This window comes from Homo sapiens, chromosome 7, assembly GCF_000001405.40.
Source record: "Homo sapiens chromosome 7, GRCh38.p14 Primary Assembly".
Lineage (NCBI taxonomy): Eukaryota > Metazoa > Chordata > Mammalia > Primates > Hominidae > Homo > Homo sapiens.
The window spans coordinates 72,411,812-72,429,466 of record NC_000007.14 but is presented as its reverse complement, the minus strand read 5'-3'; the positions used below and the strand labels follow the sequence as shown (position 1 = coordinate 72,429,466).

At 47.2% G+C, this 17,655-nt stretch overlaps 1 protein-coding gene across 8 annotated transcripts in view; it reads left to right on the top strand.

Annotated features, from left to right (window-relative positions):
* CALN1 (calneuron 1) overlaps positions 1-17,655 on the top strand; it is a 724,789-nt gene that overhangs the window by 74,813 nt on the left and 632,321 nt on the right. For 2 of the 8 annotated variants that reach the window (NM_031468.4, XM_047420911.1), the window contains exon 1: positions 17,129-17,409. The exons of 5 other annotated variants lie outside the window; for them this stretch is intronic. The gene's annotated coding sequence lies outside the window, so the exon portion shown is untranslated. Of the gene's footprint in view, positions 1-17,128; positions 17,410-17,655 lie in introns of those variants that run through there. One more of the 8 variants, XM_017012678.2, reaches the window with a different exon arrangement.

The window sequence follows — 17,655 nt, the reverse complement described above, 5'->3', positions numbered from 1 at the left end:
ATTCTGTTCATCTAGGAGGGGCCTCAAGTCCTAAAGGCAGAAAATGAGGGGAAAATCCCACATTACGCCACATTCATTTTTGGGGGATATTTTCGACGAGCCATTTGCTATTCTAGGTGCTGGAGATGTTGCAAGGAACAAAACCAATAAGGTCCTGCTCTGACGGGACTCATAGTCTAGGGGTGAAACACAAATAATGAAAACTTAGGTAATATTTTCTTTTAGGACCTTGAGCTAATGTCAATATCTGAATCCACTTGAGGTTGGTGTCCATTGATTGACTTTCCTCTTGAAGATGGATTCTATTTTCCTGTTTATGGTATGTCTAGTAATTTTGCATTCTACCCTGGACTTCATGAATGATCTATTGGGCAGACTAAGGGTTCTGTTGGGCACATCTGAAGAATATTATTTGTCAGTTTTTGTTTTAGTACCAAGTTAGCCAGGCCGGACAGCAGCTGAAATGTCTATTTGGTTCTCTCAGGCTGAGCTGGGCTGCTTGGAGGTCTGCCCTGTGTGTATGTGTAGTTAGGGGGTCAACCAGAGGTTTGATAGAGCCACTCTCAGAATCTGGGTTCCCCTTCTGTGATTCTCTCTTTTCTGATAGGTCCCTCTAGCATTTGTATTTTTTAAACAGATGGGGTTTCGCCATGTTGGCCAGGCTGGTCTTGAACTCCTGGACTCAAGCAATCTGCCCGCCTTGGACTCTCAAAGTGCTGGTATTACAGGCATGAGCCACTGTGCCAGACCATCCTTCTAGTTTTCTAGCTGCTGGTGTCATCCTGAAAACTCTCTTCTGATTTCTTGATAGTAAGACTTCAGGTTTCTGGCCTCACGCCAGCAGCAGTGCTGACTGAGACCAGCCTGGGCAACATGGTGATACCCTGTCTCTACAAAAAATACAAAAATTAGCTGGACGTGATGGCATGCTTCTGTAGTTCCAGCAGCTTGGGAGGCTGAGGCAGGAGGATCACTTGAGCCCAGGATGTTGAGGCTGCAGTGAGCTGAGATCAGGCCACTGCACTCCAGCCTGGACCACAGAGCAAGACTGTGTCTCAAAAAAAAAAAATAATAAAATAAAATAAAAACAAAAAAAAAATCAATCTGTGCCTTTCTCACTTCCAAAAATCGCCTCCCTTTCAGTTTCTTCCTGCTTTGGGCCACTTGCCAGTGCCTTTTGAGCATTCTCTTTTGTATATTGTCCAGAATTTATGATTACTATTTGTAGGAGAGCTGGTCAAATATGAGCTACTCTGTGATTATGAGAAGAACTCTAAAACTTAGCAAGTAAGTAAGTGAACAGATATATGATCATTCCTCACAGTGATCAATGCTATGATGGAAAACAGCATGGCAGGGAGTGTCTCGACTGTGTCTGTGGAGGGTCACTTCAAATGAACACAGAAGGGACATTGAGCTGAGGCTGGGATGACATGGGAAAGCTGCATTTGCGTGGTGGGGCAGGAGCACCCTGGACGGAATATCAGGTGTAAAAATGTTCAGGCAAGAAGGAGCTAGGCTGCTGGAGAGGCAGGGGTTAGGCAGTGAGGACAAGAGAGAAGGAAGGCAGCTGGACCACGCAACAGTCATTGAGATTTTATTCTACATAAAATGATCTACCACTGAGAGAACTTTAAGCAAGACAGTGATGTGATCTGTTTTTGCTCATTTAAAAGATCACTCTGCAGCCCAGCACCGTGGCTCCTACCTGTAACCCCAGCACGTCAGGAGGCCAAGGTGGGAAGATTGTTTGAGGCCAGGAGTTCAAGACTCTGTCTCTACAAAAAAATAAAAATAAAAATAAAAATAAAAATAAAAATAAATTGCCATGTGTGGTGGCATGCACCTGTAATCCCAGCTACTCAGGAGTGATGTTTGTGCCACTGTACTTCAGCCTGGATGACAGAGCAAGACCCTGTTTCTAAAGAAGAAAACAAAAGGACATTGGAATCAGGTCCCCTTCATCCTAAGGTGCCTACAGAGTATCTTTCTCTGCAAAGAGTAAATGTCATTCTCCAACTCTGCACAGAGTGGAGCAGCAGGAAAATGCCCTCATCTCATTTCTGTGCTGCTTGAGAGGTCTGGACAGCCCAATAACCAGCTCCTTGCTGATGAAACAATTGGGGAAATGGCCCTAGTTGAGCTAAGGAAAATTTGGTTTCTTCTTTTGGTTCTCAAAGGGCAGGGTAGTGGCTGGGTGAGGTGGCTCACACCTGTAATCCCAGCACTTTGGGAGGCCAAGGTGGGAGGGTGGCTTGAGGTCAGGAGTTTGAGACCAGCCTGGCAAAGCCCCATCTCTACAAATAATTTTTTAAAATTAGTCAGGCATGGTGATATGTGCTTACCATCCCAGCTACTTGGGAGGCTGAGGTGAGAGGATCACTTGATCCCAGAAAGTTGAGGCTGCAGTGAGCCATGATCACACAACTGCGCTCTAGCCTGGGTGACAGAGTGAGATCTCATCACTTTAAAAATAAAGATTGCTCTGATTCTGCAGACAATAGGCAGGAAGGCCAATGGGGGGCTCCTGTGGGAGGGGGAAGACAGGGGCTTGGGTAAGAATGCCACCACTCAGACAGGCCCACCATGGGCAATGAGCATCGCCACACGTTGTTGAGTCTGTATGAACAGCAAACATGAGTGGTCAATGCAAGCCATAGCTGGTCACTGTCCCCAGAACCAAAGACTCAAGTGAGGTTGATAGAAGTGCTTCCTAAGAGACCACTCCTCAGGGGGATAAATACAGCCCAGTGGTTACAGCAGAACAGCCCTGCCTGGCTCTGTCTATCAGTTTCGTGGTGCCTGGCCTGGGATAGTCAGGCTCGTAGTTTTTCAGCTATAGTAGATGTATTAGTTCATTTTCACACTGGTTTAAAGATAATGCCTGAGACTGTGTAATTTATAAAGGAAAGAGGTTGAATTGACTCACAGTTCCACATAGCTGAGAAGGCCTCAGGAAACTTACACTCATGGCGGAAGGGGAAGCAAACGTGTCCTTCACATGGCAGCAGGAAGAAGAGTGAACAAAGGAAGAACTTCTAAATACTTATAAAACCATCAGATCTTGTGAGAACTCACTCATGATCATGAGAACAGCATGGGAGAAACTCCCCCATGATCCAATCACCTCTTACCTGGTCTCTCCCTCAACACCTAAGGATTAAAATTCAAGATGAGATTTGGATGGAGACACAGAGCCAAACCATATCAGTAGAGCACTTGCAGGCATTAGATGGGCCAGCCGCCTTGGGCTGGGCTGGGCCTGGGCCCCTCACCTTCTTCTGGCCCTTCATCCAGGTGAGGCTCATCCACACAGTCCCTGGGGTAAGTGGATTCAAGTCTGGACAATGCATTCTTCACTTTCCGGAAGACAATGGCAGAAATCCCTCCTGGTTTCCTGGCCTAAGCCTAGGTGCCAGCACACCCCATCAGAGATGCCTCCCAATCAGAGGCAGCAGCTTACCTTCGCCCTGAGGCATTTGGCTTCCTCTTAGCTGTGGTTCCTTATGTCTTCGGCTCCCTCCGAGGGCACCCTGGGATGAGGAGGAGTTTGATTGTAATTATTGGAATCTCTTTCCCAAAGCCGACAGGTAGCCATCTCCCTAAGGGACAGAGTGGCAGCTTAGACGTGGGACTCTGTGTGCAGAGAGGCCTGGATTCAAATCTGCAATCTTAAGAATCTGCAAAGTCAAATTCTGCAAGCTTTATAGCCCCCTTAACGTCATCTATTAGCAGGAATACAAACACCTCATACTTCACAGGATGGCTGTGAGACTCAGATGAGATGGTAATCTGTGAATGGCCTGTTGCATGCTCAACAGAATGTGGTACTAAGGAGCTGTCAATCAACATTAGCTGCAATAGTAACGATGAGGTATACTATTTTCCATAATTAAGAATGGCCAACCCATCAGGATGGGAATAAATTCACAGTCGTGGATGGACTGAAGCTGTGCTGGAACTCATGAGTAATGAGGCATGGCACTTATTGGGAGCGTGGTCTCAGCCATGGGCACATGGGGATGGAGGGCCCCCGGTAGTAACTGGGCAGGAGGCCGAGCGTGGTGGCTCATGCCTGTAATCCCTGCACTTTGGGAGGCTGAGGTGGGTGGATCACTTGAGGTCAGGAGTTTGAGACCAGCCTGGCCAACATGGTGAAACCTTGTCTCTACTAAAAGTACAAAAATTAGCTGGGTGTGGTGGCACGTGCCTGTAATCCTAGGTACTTAGGAGGCTGAGGCAGGAGAATCACTTGAACCAGGAAGGTGGAGGTTGCAGTGAGCCGAGATTGTGCCATTGCACTCCAGCCTGGGCAACAGAGTGAGACTCTGTCTCAAAAAAACAACCCCCCAGCCCTGCAAAAACAAACCCTACCCCTCTCTGAGGTCCTTAGGTCCTTTAGCAACATGGATGCCAATGGTGGAAATCATGTCAATGAGTCCTAGAGCCTGTGGATTGATTGTATCACTGTGTAGCATCCTCAGGCTCAGGAGAGAAACCTTAGAGATGGGCCCAGCCTTACACCCGCTTGAGTGAGTCCTGTGAATCTTGCCATTCATCTAGGATGGGCCCCAACTTACCAAGGTAGAAAATAAAGAAGGAAGCTACTCAGGAGGTTGAGGCAAGAGAATCTTTTGAGGCTAGGGGCTTAAGACCAGTCTGGTCAACATAGCAAAATCCCATCCCTACAAAAAATAAAAAAATTATATGGGAGTGGTGGCATGCATCTGTAGTCCCAGCTACTGGGGAGGCTAAGGTTGAAGGATCTCCCGAGGTCAGAAGTTTGAGGCTGCAGTGAGCTATGATCACGCCACTGCATTCCAGCTTGGGTGATACAGTGAGACACGTTCTCTAAAAAAAAATAAAATAAAATAAATTAAGAGACAGAATTAAAAGGATGGAAATAAACAATCTTGTTTTATACCAGATTCATATTTTTGCAAGGCACATGGTTTGGGGTATGAGATGGTCTTGAAATGCTGGGTGGGTTTAGTGTGCCTAAAATTCATTTTTACAATCCAAAAGTGCCATTAGGTTAGGGCACTACACATTTTAGTCCCCAGTTCTAGAAAGTTTAAACTTTAAAATTTTAAAATGTAAAAGCCCCAGATGTTATGACTCAACTCAAGTGGGTCCTCTGCCTTAGGACTGTATTGTAAGTAACTGGAAGTCCTCATAACTTGCTGATGGAGGAAGGAAACCTGGAGGGCTGCCTGGGGGAAGAATCTTCCTACCCAACAAAACAAGGGGGCTCCATTGAGAACTGGACACCTGAGACTGAGGGCAGGGTTGGCCTCTCCCTGTTGCCTTTCCCAGGGGGCTCTTCAGTGCTCTCTGGCTCCTGCTAAGGGATAGGAAGCCTGGGTCCCTAACCCAAGCTGGCAGTAAGGTACAAATTCAGGTGCATGTATTTTCTTTCTTTCTTTTCCTTCCTTCCTTCCCCTCCTCCCTCCCTCCTTCCTTCCTTCTTTTCCTTCCTTCCTTCCTCCCTCCCTCCCTCCCTCCCTCCCTCCCTTCTTTCTTTCTTTCTCTTCTTTCTTTTTCTCTTTCTGTCTCCCTCCCTCCCTTCCTTCCTTCTCCCCTTTCCTCCCTCCCTTCCTTCTTTCTTTTCTTTTTTCTTTATTTCTTTGTCTCTCTCTCTTTTTTTTTTGAGACAAGGTCTTGCTCTGTCACCCAGGCTGGAGTGCAGTGGCATGATCACAGCTCACTGCAGCCTCCACCTCCTGGGCTCAAGCCATCCTTCCTCCTTAGCCTCCCAAGTGGCTGGGATTACAGGTGTGAGCCACTGTGCCTGGCCAGATGCATGTATTTTCCAGAGAGGCTGGATTATCTTCTTTGAATTCGCCCAGGTGGTGTGGGGCATCAGATGCCAGACCCTTTTCTTAGAGCAAGTGTGTTACAAGTAGCAAGGTTATTATTACTGCTGTGTCCCAGGGCTGGTATCTCTGGGTCTCCTGGGGGTGAGGTTATCTGGAAAGCCAGCCTTGGATGGTCTGGAGGTCTGTTTGGAGGAGAGACAGCTTTAAGGACAGCTGTGAAGGAGGAAAACCTCCTGCCCTGCCCCTCTGCTGGTCCCTGCCCTGGGGCTAGGCTTTCTATGCTACTCAGAAAAGTAAAATGAAAAAGGAAAGAGGAAATAAGGGAAATAAAAGAAGCACATTTGTCCAGTGATATAGGACTTGTAGAAAGTAGGAAAATTAAAACTTGAAAGAAAAATCAGAAGGAATAAAGACAAAAGAAAAATACAATAGTACAAGTTCTGAATAATTCCATCCAGTAAAAATTAAGATTAGGTGAAATTGATAAGATGAAATGATAAGATAAAATGAAATATTTTCTTTTTCTTTTTTTTTTTTTTGAGATGGAGTCTCATTCTGTTGCCCAGGCTAGAGTGTGGCGTGATCTCAGCTCACTGCAACCTCCATCTCCCGGGTTCAAGCGATTCTCATGTCTTAGCCCCTGAGTAGCTGGGACCACGCCTGGCTAATTTTTGTATTTTTATCAGAGATGAGGTTTCGCCGTGTTGGCCAGGCTGGTCTCAAACTGCTGACCTCAAGTGATCTGCCTGCCTCAGCCTCCCAAAGTGCTGGGATTACAGGCGTGAGCCGATGCGCTCAGCCAAAATGAAATCTTTTAATCTGAAATAAGATGAATCTGATAAGATAAAGACAAAATGACACCATGAGAGTTCATGTAAGAGATAAAGCCAAGAAGATAAGATGTTAAAACAGAAAGGTTGACAAAGAGAGAGAAACAATTAGGAAAAGGTGAGGATTTACATGAAGGATGAAGAATAAGAATGAAACAGGTAAATGACAATTTATATAAATGGAATCTCACTGGGAGGGAATATTTTAAGAAGTCAGCTGGAAGCACTTGCGGAGGACGAGGGAAGTGACTTTGTAACTGGTTCTTAGAGTATCCTAAACTAAGCCTCCCCTCTGCAGAGGATGGTGTCACTCAGCAAGAAGAATTAAAAGATGCTGGGGACCCTGCAACTTTATCAGCTGCTGCTGCTACCTTGAAAAGACTTCATCAAAATAAACAGCCAGGGGGGCTTGTGGTTACTCAAAAATCTCAACATCACTAATCACCGGGGAAATGCAAATCAAAACCACAATATGGTTTTCTTACTCCTGCGAGAATGGTCAAAATTAAAAAGTCAAAAAACAATAGACGTTGGCATTGATGTGGTGAAAATGAAACACTTCTACACTGCTGGCGGGAATGTAAACTAGTAGTACGGCCACTATGGAAAACAGTATGGAGATTCCTTAAAGAACTAAAAGTAGATTTGCCATTTGATCCAGTAATCCCACTACTGGCTATTTACTCAAAAGAAAAGAAGTCATTATATGAAAAAGACACTTGCAGATGTATGTTTATAGCAGCACAATTCACAATTGCAAGACGTGGAACCAGCCTAAGTGCGGGTCGATCCACAAGTGGATAAAGAAAATGTGGTATATATACACCATGGAATACTACTCAGCTGTGAAAAGGAATGAAATAATGTCTTTTGCAGCAAGTTGGATGGAACTGGAGGCCATTATCCTAAGTGAAGTAACTCAGGAATGGAAAACCAAATGCCATATATTCTCATTAATAAGTGGGATATTGGGAGACTGAGGCTGGCAGATCATGAGGTCAGGAGATCGAGACCAGCCTGGCCAACATGGTGAAACCCTGTCTCTACTAAAAATTACAAAAAAATTAGCTGGGTGTGGTGGCATGTGCCTGTAGTCCCAGCTACTTGGGAGGCTGAGGCGGGAGAACCACTTGAACCTGTGAGGCGGAGGTTGTAGTGAGTGAGCTGAGATTGTGCCACTGCACACCAGCCTGGCTGACAGAGCAAGACTTAGTCTAAAAAAAAAAAAAAAAAAAAAAAAAAAAGTAGGATAAAATGAAATCTTATCATCTGAAATATGATGACTGTTATAAGATAAAATAAAGACAAAATGACACCATGAGAGTTCATGTAAAAGATAAAGCCAAGAAGATAAGATGTTAAAAGCAGAAAGGTTGATGAAGAGAGAGAAAAACAATTCGGAAAAGGTGAGGATTTACGTTAAGGATGAAGAATAAGAATTATTCTTTCGGTTTTCCATTCCTGAGTTATTTCACTCATAGCTAAGCTGTGAGGATAGAAAAACATACAGAGCGATCTAATGGACTGTGGGGACTCAGGGTGGGGAGAGGTTGGGAGTGGAGTGATGGATAAAAGACAACATCTTGGGTACAGTATGTGATGGGTGCACTAAATCTCAAAAATCACTGCTAAAGAACTCATCCATATAACCAAAAACCACCTGTACCCTAAAAACTATTGAAATAAATTACCATTTTTTTAAGAAAGGAATCTGATCTCTGGAAAGTTCCCAGACAATGCTCACTCTAAAAACGCACTGGACGCAAAGGAAAGTGCAGTAAGAACCTGCCCGGGTTTCTAGACCCAGAACTCCCTGGAAATTGGGAAATTTGGGTATTTACCCAAAAGGAAAGAAGTTATTATATGAAAAAGGCCCTTGCAGATGCATGTTTAAGATGCATCCCGGCCAGGCGTGGTGGCTCATGCCTGTAATCCCAGCACTTCGGGAGGCTGAGGCGGGTGGATCACTAGGAGATCGAGACCATCCTGGCTAACATAGTGAAACCCTGTCTCTACTAAAAATACAAAAAATTAGCCGGGCGTAGTGGCGGGCTCCTGTAGTCCCAGCTACTCGACTGAGGGAGGAGAATGGCGTGAACCCGGGAGGCGGAGCTTGCAGTGAGCTGAGATCTCACCACTGCACTCCAGCCTGGGCGACAGAGCGAGGCTCCGTCTCAAAAAAAAAAAAAAAAAAAAGATGCATCCAGATCAGCCTGGAGCAGGCCTGGTAAACCTGTCTTCTGCAGAGGCACTGTTGCCTTTGGGGGAATTTTTTAAAAAGGTGATTTCTCATGACCTGAAACAGGTGCCCAGGTGAATGCCAGCTCCTCTCCCTCTCGGTGTAGCCCTGCTTCCCTCCTTAAGGGGAGCCCTAGATTCAGATTTCACTCTGAAGTGAGTGAAGCCTCCCAGCCAGCATCTACTCAGCAAAATCTGCCCCTGTTTGGGGTTGCAAGAGGAAGTGTTGCCTGTGGGGTTTAGAGCCAGGTCATGTAGTTATTTCATGCTGGGCTCCAGCCAAGGCAGGATGGACCACTTTAGATCGTGCCTCAATCTTATGAGTCTGGCTACCTCTGTCCTTCTTTTCCCAAGTTTCTTTCTAGTCATGTCTTCATACAACCCAAGGGTGAATGTTAGGGTGGGAGTTAGGGTTAGGGTTAATGTGAGCATCTAACTTGCCCCTTCGTGGGCAGGAACTGAAGTGGCTCATTTCACTCAGCCTGCAGACTGTGGACAGCTAAGTGTTAACGGCTCCGTGAAGGGTCAGGGTGACAGTCTTCTGCACCTGTCCTTTTTGACACCCGAGTTCTTGTTCAGTGTCCAGGAAGAATCAGGTCACATGAACTGTGTGAAAGGTGATGAATGCAGAAGACTTTATTGAGCAGTGGAAGTGGCTCTTGGTGGAGAGGGAGCTGGAAAGGGGATGGTGTGGGGAGAAGGTGATCTTTTCCCTGAAGCTCAGCCATGTCTGGCTGGGCTCCCCTCCAAAACCACACATCTGAAGTTAGCTGCATGTACCTGTAGTCTCCAACGCTCAGTTTTTGCTTCTCTGCTCACTGCTCAGCCACTTGTATCCTTGCCGGTCAGCCACTTGTGTTGCTCTTTTCTCTTTTTATGAGCACAGGATAGGGGTATGGCAGGCCAATAAGGCAATCATTTGGGCAGAAAAATTGGGCCAGCTGTTTCCACTTAGGGCCGAGGCTCCAAGCTTGAGGGTGGGGTTTAGTCAGGAGCCCAGCCATTCTATATCAGGATGACTCTAAGGCCAACTGGGAGAAGTGGGGTTTCTGGGACACCCGTATTCATGCAGTCAAAGCCAAGAAAGGCAAATCAGTGCCTCCCAAACCCAGCCTTAGGGGATTACCTGAGCCAATCCAGACATGAATCCTGAGGAAAATACGGCAGCCAAATGCCCTGCCCCAAGATTCCATGGGTTATCAAAGAAGGAAGACCTGAGGAATCTTCCTTCCCAAAGAAGGACTAGGGAGTGACTGTGCCAGTGGATATGAGGTTCCTTTTGGGAATGATGAAAATGGTCTAAAATGGGTTGTGGTGATCACAATCCATTTTAGACCATTTGCACAATTATCATGTGCAACACGGAATTTTGGAGCAGTAGGGTGAGAACTGTGATGCTTTGAGCAGCGGCAGGGCGTCGTCAGCAGGGCATTCGTGTGTTGTCCAGCTCAACTTTGCACCCACTGGGATGGGCATCCATCTTCTTGGCTGCTTGGTGTTTCTGGGAATCTACTTCTAGGCTTTTCAATGGGTAGAGGTCCGCCAAACCAAAAAACAAAGGGATTACTTGGAGTCTTGCTTTGTCACCCAGGCTGGAGTGCAGTGGCATGATCATAGTTCACTGTAGCCTCAACCTCCTGGGCTCAAGCAATCCTCCCGGCACAGTGTCCCAAGTAGCTGGGATAACAGGCATGCATCACCATGCCTGGCTAATTTTTAAAAAGATTTTTTGGTAGAGACGGGGTCTCGCCATGTTGCTCAGGCTGGCCTCAAACTCCTGGCCTCAAGCAATCCTCCCACCTTGCCCTCTGAAGGGCTGGGGTTATAGGTGCAAGCCACATCACCCAGTGACATAAGAGCTTGAACTACAGGGAGACCCATCCAGATGGGGCTGAGCAAAAGACTAAGAATCTCTGTGGAAAGCTCTGGTAAACTCCAGGAGCCCTATGTGAGCCGGGGCGGGGAAGCTACAGAGGGCGATTGTCCAGAAGTGGTGAATATATGGCTGAGGTACTGGGGATACTGTGGTAAATCTGGGGACTACTGTCTTCCAGAGCCCTGGAGGGTGCAGTGCGACAGTCACCCTGGGCAGAGCCCCTTCCCAAACCCAAAGGAAAATAATTTGTTCTACCAAAAAGACACCTGCACTTGTATGTTCATTGCAGCATTATTCACAAGAGCAAAGACATGGAATCGACGTAGGTGCCCATCATTCGTGGATTGGATAAAGAAAATGTGGTCCATATACACCATGGAATACTACACAGTCATGAAAAAGAATGAGATCATGTCCTTTACAACAACATAGATGCAGCTGGAGGCCATTATCCTAAGCAGATTAATGCAGGAACAGAAAACCAAATACTGCATGTTCTCACTTGTAAGTGGGAAAGAAACATTGGGTACATGTGGACATCAAGATGGGAAGAACAGACACTGGGGGCTACTAGAGAGGGAAGAGGGGGAGGGGGGCAAAGGTTGAAACACTACCTATTGGGTACTATGCTTGCTACCTGGATGATGGGAATGTTTTTACCCTAAACCTCAGCATCACACGATATATCCATTTAACCAACCGGCACATGTACCTTCTGAATCTAAATTAAAGTTGGACATTTTAAAACCCTTAAAACAAACAAACAAAAAGAGGAACAGGGAAAAACAGCTCAGCAGAGGGAGGAGCTCCAGATGAAACTTAGAGACCCAGTGATTCCCTGCATGGGGCTCAAAACACAAGGTCTCTGTGATCATGTTTAAGGCCAGGGTGTCCCAGGGTAGCATGGCACCGATTACCTCAAACCCACTGATGAGGCTCCCACAACCATGACTAATGAACATGAAGAGCTAATGGACTCCTCTTCTTTCTCAAAACCTCTGCCAACTCTGCCGCCAAGAATTATAAGCATTTAGAAAATAATTATACATCTGGACAAATCAGTTTCAGTCTATTGGATTGAACATAATCATATTAAAATATAATGAATACATTCAAACACACAATGCATGATTAAATAGTCACTTAGGAACCAGTGCTGGTAAAGCATGCTGGCTGGTAACCAAGAACTATGTGGCAAGTGCCCACGGTAGCGGGGACAGAAGTAGAAAGCCACCCCAGGCTTGCAACTGATTTCTTTGTCACCTTTGGTTTAGGTTCTCATTTACTTCCTCCCACCCTGGCTCAGGCAAATCCACACAAACTGGTTGTGGTTCCTGCAACCTGATTTTGTTGGCTGGTGCTTAATCTTTGTGTCATTTGGGATGGAAAGGTGGAGTGGGGGAGGCAGGATGTTTTTGGCAGGCTGATGGCCAGAGACCGCAGGGGTCTGCCCAAGGTCTCTGCCAATCCCATTGCACGGGGCATCTCACTCATGTCCTCCCTCGGGAGGCGAGGGCACCAAACAGCAGTGGTGCTTCTCAAACGCTTGTTGTCTTATTATCCTTGGCCTCCAGATCACGGCTGGGACCGCCCTCCGCCTGTACTCACTGAGCATATCTCCAGGTTTCTGGGCCTGGATGAAGACTCAGGCTCTATGGGAATCCCGGGGAAGCTGAGCTTCCATCTGGCAGCTGACCTGGAGACCTGAAGCATGCCTTGGCAAAGCACACCTTTCCCCACTGACTTGCCCTGGACCAAAGACTTGGTCTCAGCTCTCTGTGGCCTCTTTGTGCCCTGCACTTCTCTGCCTCCTGGCCTAGCCCAGCCCAGCTCAGCCCAGCCCACCCCAGCTCAACCCTCGGCTGATAGATGCTGACATTAATGCAGGAGAGGTGGGTCCCCAAATCGGGATGAAGCCCGGGAAGGTTCTTTTTGTTATTTGTTTTTTTTTTTTTTTTTTTTTTTTTTTGAGACAGAGTCTCACTTTGCCGCCCAGGCTGGAGTGCAGTGACGCGATCTCGGCTCACTGCAACCTCCGCCTCCCAGGTTCAAGTGATTCTCTTGCCTCAGTCTCTTGAGTAGCTGGGATTACAGGCACACACCACCATGCTCAGCTAAGTTTTGAATTTTTAGTAGAGACAGGGTTTCACCATGTTGGCCAGGCTGGTCTTGAACACCTGACATTAGGTGGATCTACCTGTCTCAGCCTCGCAAAGCGCTGGGATTACAGCGTGAGCCACCGTGCCCAGCCGGGTTCCCGGCTTCACTCAGGAAACAATTTAAGGCTGAGCCAGTGGCAGAAGAAAACAGCTTTATTGAGGTAGCAGCATTACAGCTCTGTGACTACTCCTGCAGAGCAGGGGTACTCCATAGGCAGTGTGTGGAGAGCAGCAGCTCAGGGGCAGTGCTGCAGTCATATTTATACCCACTTCTAATTATATGCAAATTAAGGAGCAGGCTATTCAGAAATTGTTAGAAGAGGGGTGGTAACTTCTGGGTGTTGCCATGGCAATGGTAAACTGTCATGGCACTGGTGGGTGTGTCTCACGGAGAGGTGCTTCCAGGGCCTCTTCCCTATTTTAGCCAGTCTTCAGTCTGGTCTGGAGTCAAGTCCTGCCTCCCACCTCAACATCACAGGTGGAGACTGGAAAATGTCAAGGGTAGGGCGAAGGGAACGGTACAAGCATTGGTGATCAGCTTCAGAAGCAGACCCACAACCTTAAAAGAAATGGAGCCCAGGGCTGGGGCTGTTTGTTTTTGTCCTGCCTCTAGATGTGGGATCCTGGTCCCTGGGAACAGATCAGACTCAGGCACCTGGGTGGGCACTGGCCAAAGGAAGCCCTAGGTGAAGGAGCGTGGTGGTACCTGCAGGCGGTGTCACCGTCCAGTAGCGCAGTTCTATGCCCCCCGCGCCCCCCGTACCCTCACGGGCCTCTGCCCCACTGCCTGGGACCCTGCTGTCTTAGTCACCGCTCAGGCTTCCAGCATTTTCCCAGGAGGATCGACGAAACTGAGATTGTGAGTTGGTGGCTCACAGGCCTGGTTCAGCCCACAAACAGGTTTGTTGTTGTTTCTTCTTGTTTACTTGTGTGTTTGTTATTTCTTCTTGTGTTACTTGTGTGTTGGTTTTCTCCCAAAGTGTTTTGAAACTTAGAAGTTGTTGCCAGCATTTAAAAAATCAGCTGATTTATTAACAATCTGGATTTCCAGCTCCTCTTTAAATCATGACATCTGGCAATGCCGGGCCATACTCACTCATAGCAACAATGGATGGGTGATGAGTCGTGGCTACCGCCTTGCACAAAGGGAGCCACTTCCTCGTGGTCTTTGCCTCTTGGCATGACTGCTGGTCCCTGTAGGCATTTGAGCTGGCATGCCCCGTTTTATAAGAAGGAGAAAATACAGGTGCATCTGGAGTGGATGACACAATGGTATGAATTAGACCCAGGTGCTCCCACAGGGAGAAAGATCTAGGTACCTTGTAGTAGTCTGCTCAGGCTGCCATAACAAAATACCATAGACTAGCGGGTGGGGAGCTTAAACTATACCTTAACAGCTGTTATTTTCTCACAGCTATGGAGGCTGGAAGTCCAAGGTCAAAGTGCCAGCATGGTCAGGTTCTAGGGAGGACTCCTTTCCTGGCTTGCAGACAGCTGCCTTCTTGCTGTGTCCTCACATGGCAGAGATAGAGATCCCTCTCTTCCTCTTATAAAGCCACAGTCCAATTGGATTAGGGTTTCACCCTTAAAACCTCATTTAAAATGACCTCCCCAAACCCCTATCTTCAGATATAGTCACATTGGGGTTGAGGGCTTCAACGTAAGGATTTGGAGGAGGGACACAATTCACTCCATAGCATATGTGGAATTCAGGATATATATTTGGGGGCTGGGAAGGGAAATTAAATGACCAGTGGAGTCTTGGGCCATCCAAGCATGTCACAAAAATGGAAGGAAACCATTGCCATGAAATGGATGAACTTGGCAACAGAGAGGGGTACAGAGCTCATGTTCCCCCATCTACAGATACTGCTTCTCAGTCGTCCTGGGAGAAATACAGCTTATGGCAAATTCAGGACATCCTCCCTTCAAACATTTGCTTGAATTATCCAGACTGGGGGCCAACACTGGACTTCCAATCTCTGCTGTTCTGTAACGTCTCTGGGAAGTTCTGTGCTGCCATGCTAGTGTTAGGGTGGAGTGGGGAGTGAGTTCAGGGAGGCTGGTGTGAGGGTCTTGCCACCACCCATCCCAGGACCCCTGGTCTGGCATCAAGAAGGCACTGGCCTGCAAGAGAAGCTGTGTGACCCTGGGAAGCCACTCAGCCTCTCTGTCTCGCTCTACCCAATTGTGAACTAGGGGTTGATCAGGTCAGTTTCTTTTGTAGGTCACTCTTCATGTTGGTAGATAATTTTAAGCCCTGGTTAAGGACACTGCTCTGTAGTAGGTGCACAGAACGAAGGATTCGGCCCCAGGACTCAAGGAGGCCCATGGGCCTCTGGCTCCAGCATGGGTCTCTTGAGCTTCCCGCCAAACTCTAGGATCCTGGATCTTCCCACGGTCTGCCTCCAATGAGTGAATCCGTCTCATACCTCACTGCTCCTGCTTGGCGAGGGTGATGGGAAGATACGGTATTAGTGGGTAATTAAGTTATTAGCTGCCAAAGCTTAATTGCTCTCAGGAGTATTTTAATTGTAGCAGGGGACTCAAAAACAGAAAGCCTTGGAGACAGCAGACATCATGGAAACAGAAGGAAGGGGGAGTATATGTGAGGGTGCATGTATGGGAGTGCGGTGTGTACGTGTGTATGTATGTAAGAGTGTGTGTGTGCATGTGTATACGAGTGTGTGTGATGTGTGTGCATGTTTGTGTATGTGCCATGCATGTGAATGCATAAGTGGGAATGTTTGCGAGTGGTGCGTGTCTGTGTAGTGTGTTTGTTATGTGTATGTGTGTGCATATGTGCTGTGCGTGTGTGTATAAGTGTAAGTGTATATGTGTATGTGTAGTGTGAGTGTGAATGTATATGTGTATGAGTGTGTGCATAACTGTGAGTTTATATGCGTATGTGTAGTGAGAGTGTATATATGTATGTGTGCATGTGTTAGTGTGTATATGTATGAGTGTGTGTGTGGTGTGCATGAGTGCATGCATGTATGAGCTTGTGAGTGTGCGTGTTTATGAGTGTATCTGATGTGTGAGTTTGTGTCCTTATGTGAGCATGTGTGGTATGAGTATGCACGTGTGTCCATGTGTGGTATGTGAGTCTATGTGAGTGTACGTGTGTGTAAGAATGTGCATGTGTGGTGTGCATGTATGAGTATGTTCGTGGGTGTGTGTGGATGAGTGTATGTAAATGTATGTGTGGATGTGAGTGTATGTTAGTGTGTGTATGTATACGTGTGTGTGTACATGTGGTGTGTGTGTGCATGTGTGTGTGAATGTATATGTGTGTATGTGTGGTGTGTGTGAGTGTATATGTGTGTATGAGTGTGTGTGTGTGAGTGGGTGGGCACAAGTGTCAGTGTGTACATATGAGTGTATGTGTAAGCATGTAAGTGAGCATACGTGTAAGAGTGTATGTGTGCATATGTGTCTAACAGAACCTGCCTCTGTGATCTCTGCCAGGGCGTCCATCAGTGCAAACCCCCCGGGTGAGCCCAGGTCTGAAGGTGGCCACCAGCCACTGGCCTACTCCAGGTGGGCTTAGCGTGAGCCAGCACAGCCATCAGAGAACCTTCTCGGAGCTAGACCAGCTGCCCCAGGAGAAAGAGGGTAACCCTAAATATTATCCTACCAGGAAAGCCAGGCCTGGGGCTGTGGCCTCCATGGTCTGGGTGCTTCCTTTTGGAGGTGGGAGATGGATTCTCCAGGGAGAGCTGGGCCACCAGATATTTCTCTGTCCTGTGGCTTGACTGCTTCTAGAAACTTCCTGGGCTGAAAGCAAGGGACTTTGACAAGGGCTTGATTTGGAATGTGGGGCATTTTTATTGTTCCAGTTTGTTTTTCCCAAAGCAGGTTCCATGGGGGAAGGGTGAGGGGACAAGGGCTGGGGCTGCTCCTCCAGCAGTGGCCCCTGGGTGTGAGAGGTGAAGCCAGCTGGGCTTCTGGGTCAGTGGGGACTTGGAGAACTTTTCTGTCTAGCTAGAGGATTGTAAATGCACCAATCGGTGCTCTGTGTCTAGCTAGAGGATTGTAAATGCACCAGTCAGCATTCTGTAAAAATGGACCAATCAGCACTCTGTAAAATGGACCAATCAGCACTCTGTAAAATGGACCAATCAGCACTCTGTAAAATGGACCAATCAGCAGGACATGGGCAGGGCTGAATAAGAGAATAAAAGCTGGCTCCCCGAGCCCGCTGGGGAAGCTCGCTGGGGTGCTATCCGCTTGAGTTTGTGTTTTTTTCTTTCCTGCTTCTTAATAAAGCTTACTGCTTACTCTGGGTCCGCGCCACCTTTAAAGCTCACGGCCGCGGTCTGCGTCTTCGTTCTTGAAGTCAGCAAGACCGCAAGCCCACCGGGAGGAGCAGACGACTCCGGACGCGCCATCTTTAAGAGCTGTAACACTCACCGCGAGGTCCGTGGTTTTATTCTTAAAGTCGGCGAGACCAACAACCCAGCAGAAGGAATAAATTCCGCACACAGGTGGGCACAGAAACTAAAGAGCATGGTGGGCTCAGCTGCATGCAGTTCCCAGCTGGGCCAGGTTTGGGAGCCATCTGGGTACTTTCATAGTCTGGAGACAAGTTCCGGATTATGGTGGTGTTTTAATCTATGATTTTTTCTTTATCGGTTTATGATACCTCTCTAAAAGAGAGTTGCTTCATCAACTATTTGGTTATCCTGGAATATAATCTGTATGGAAAAAGCAGGACAATTGTTTGGTTCTTT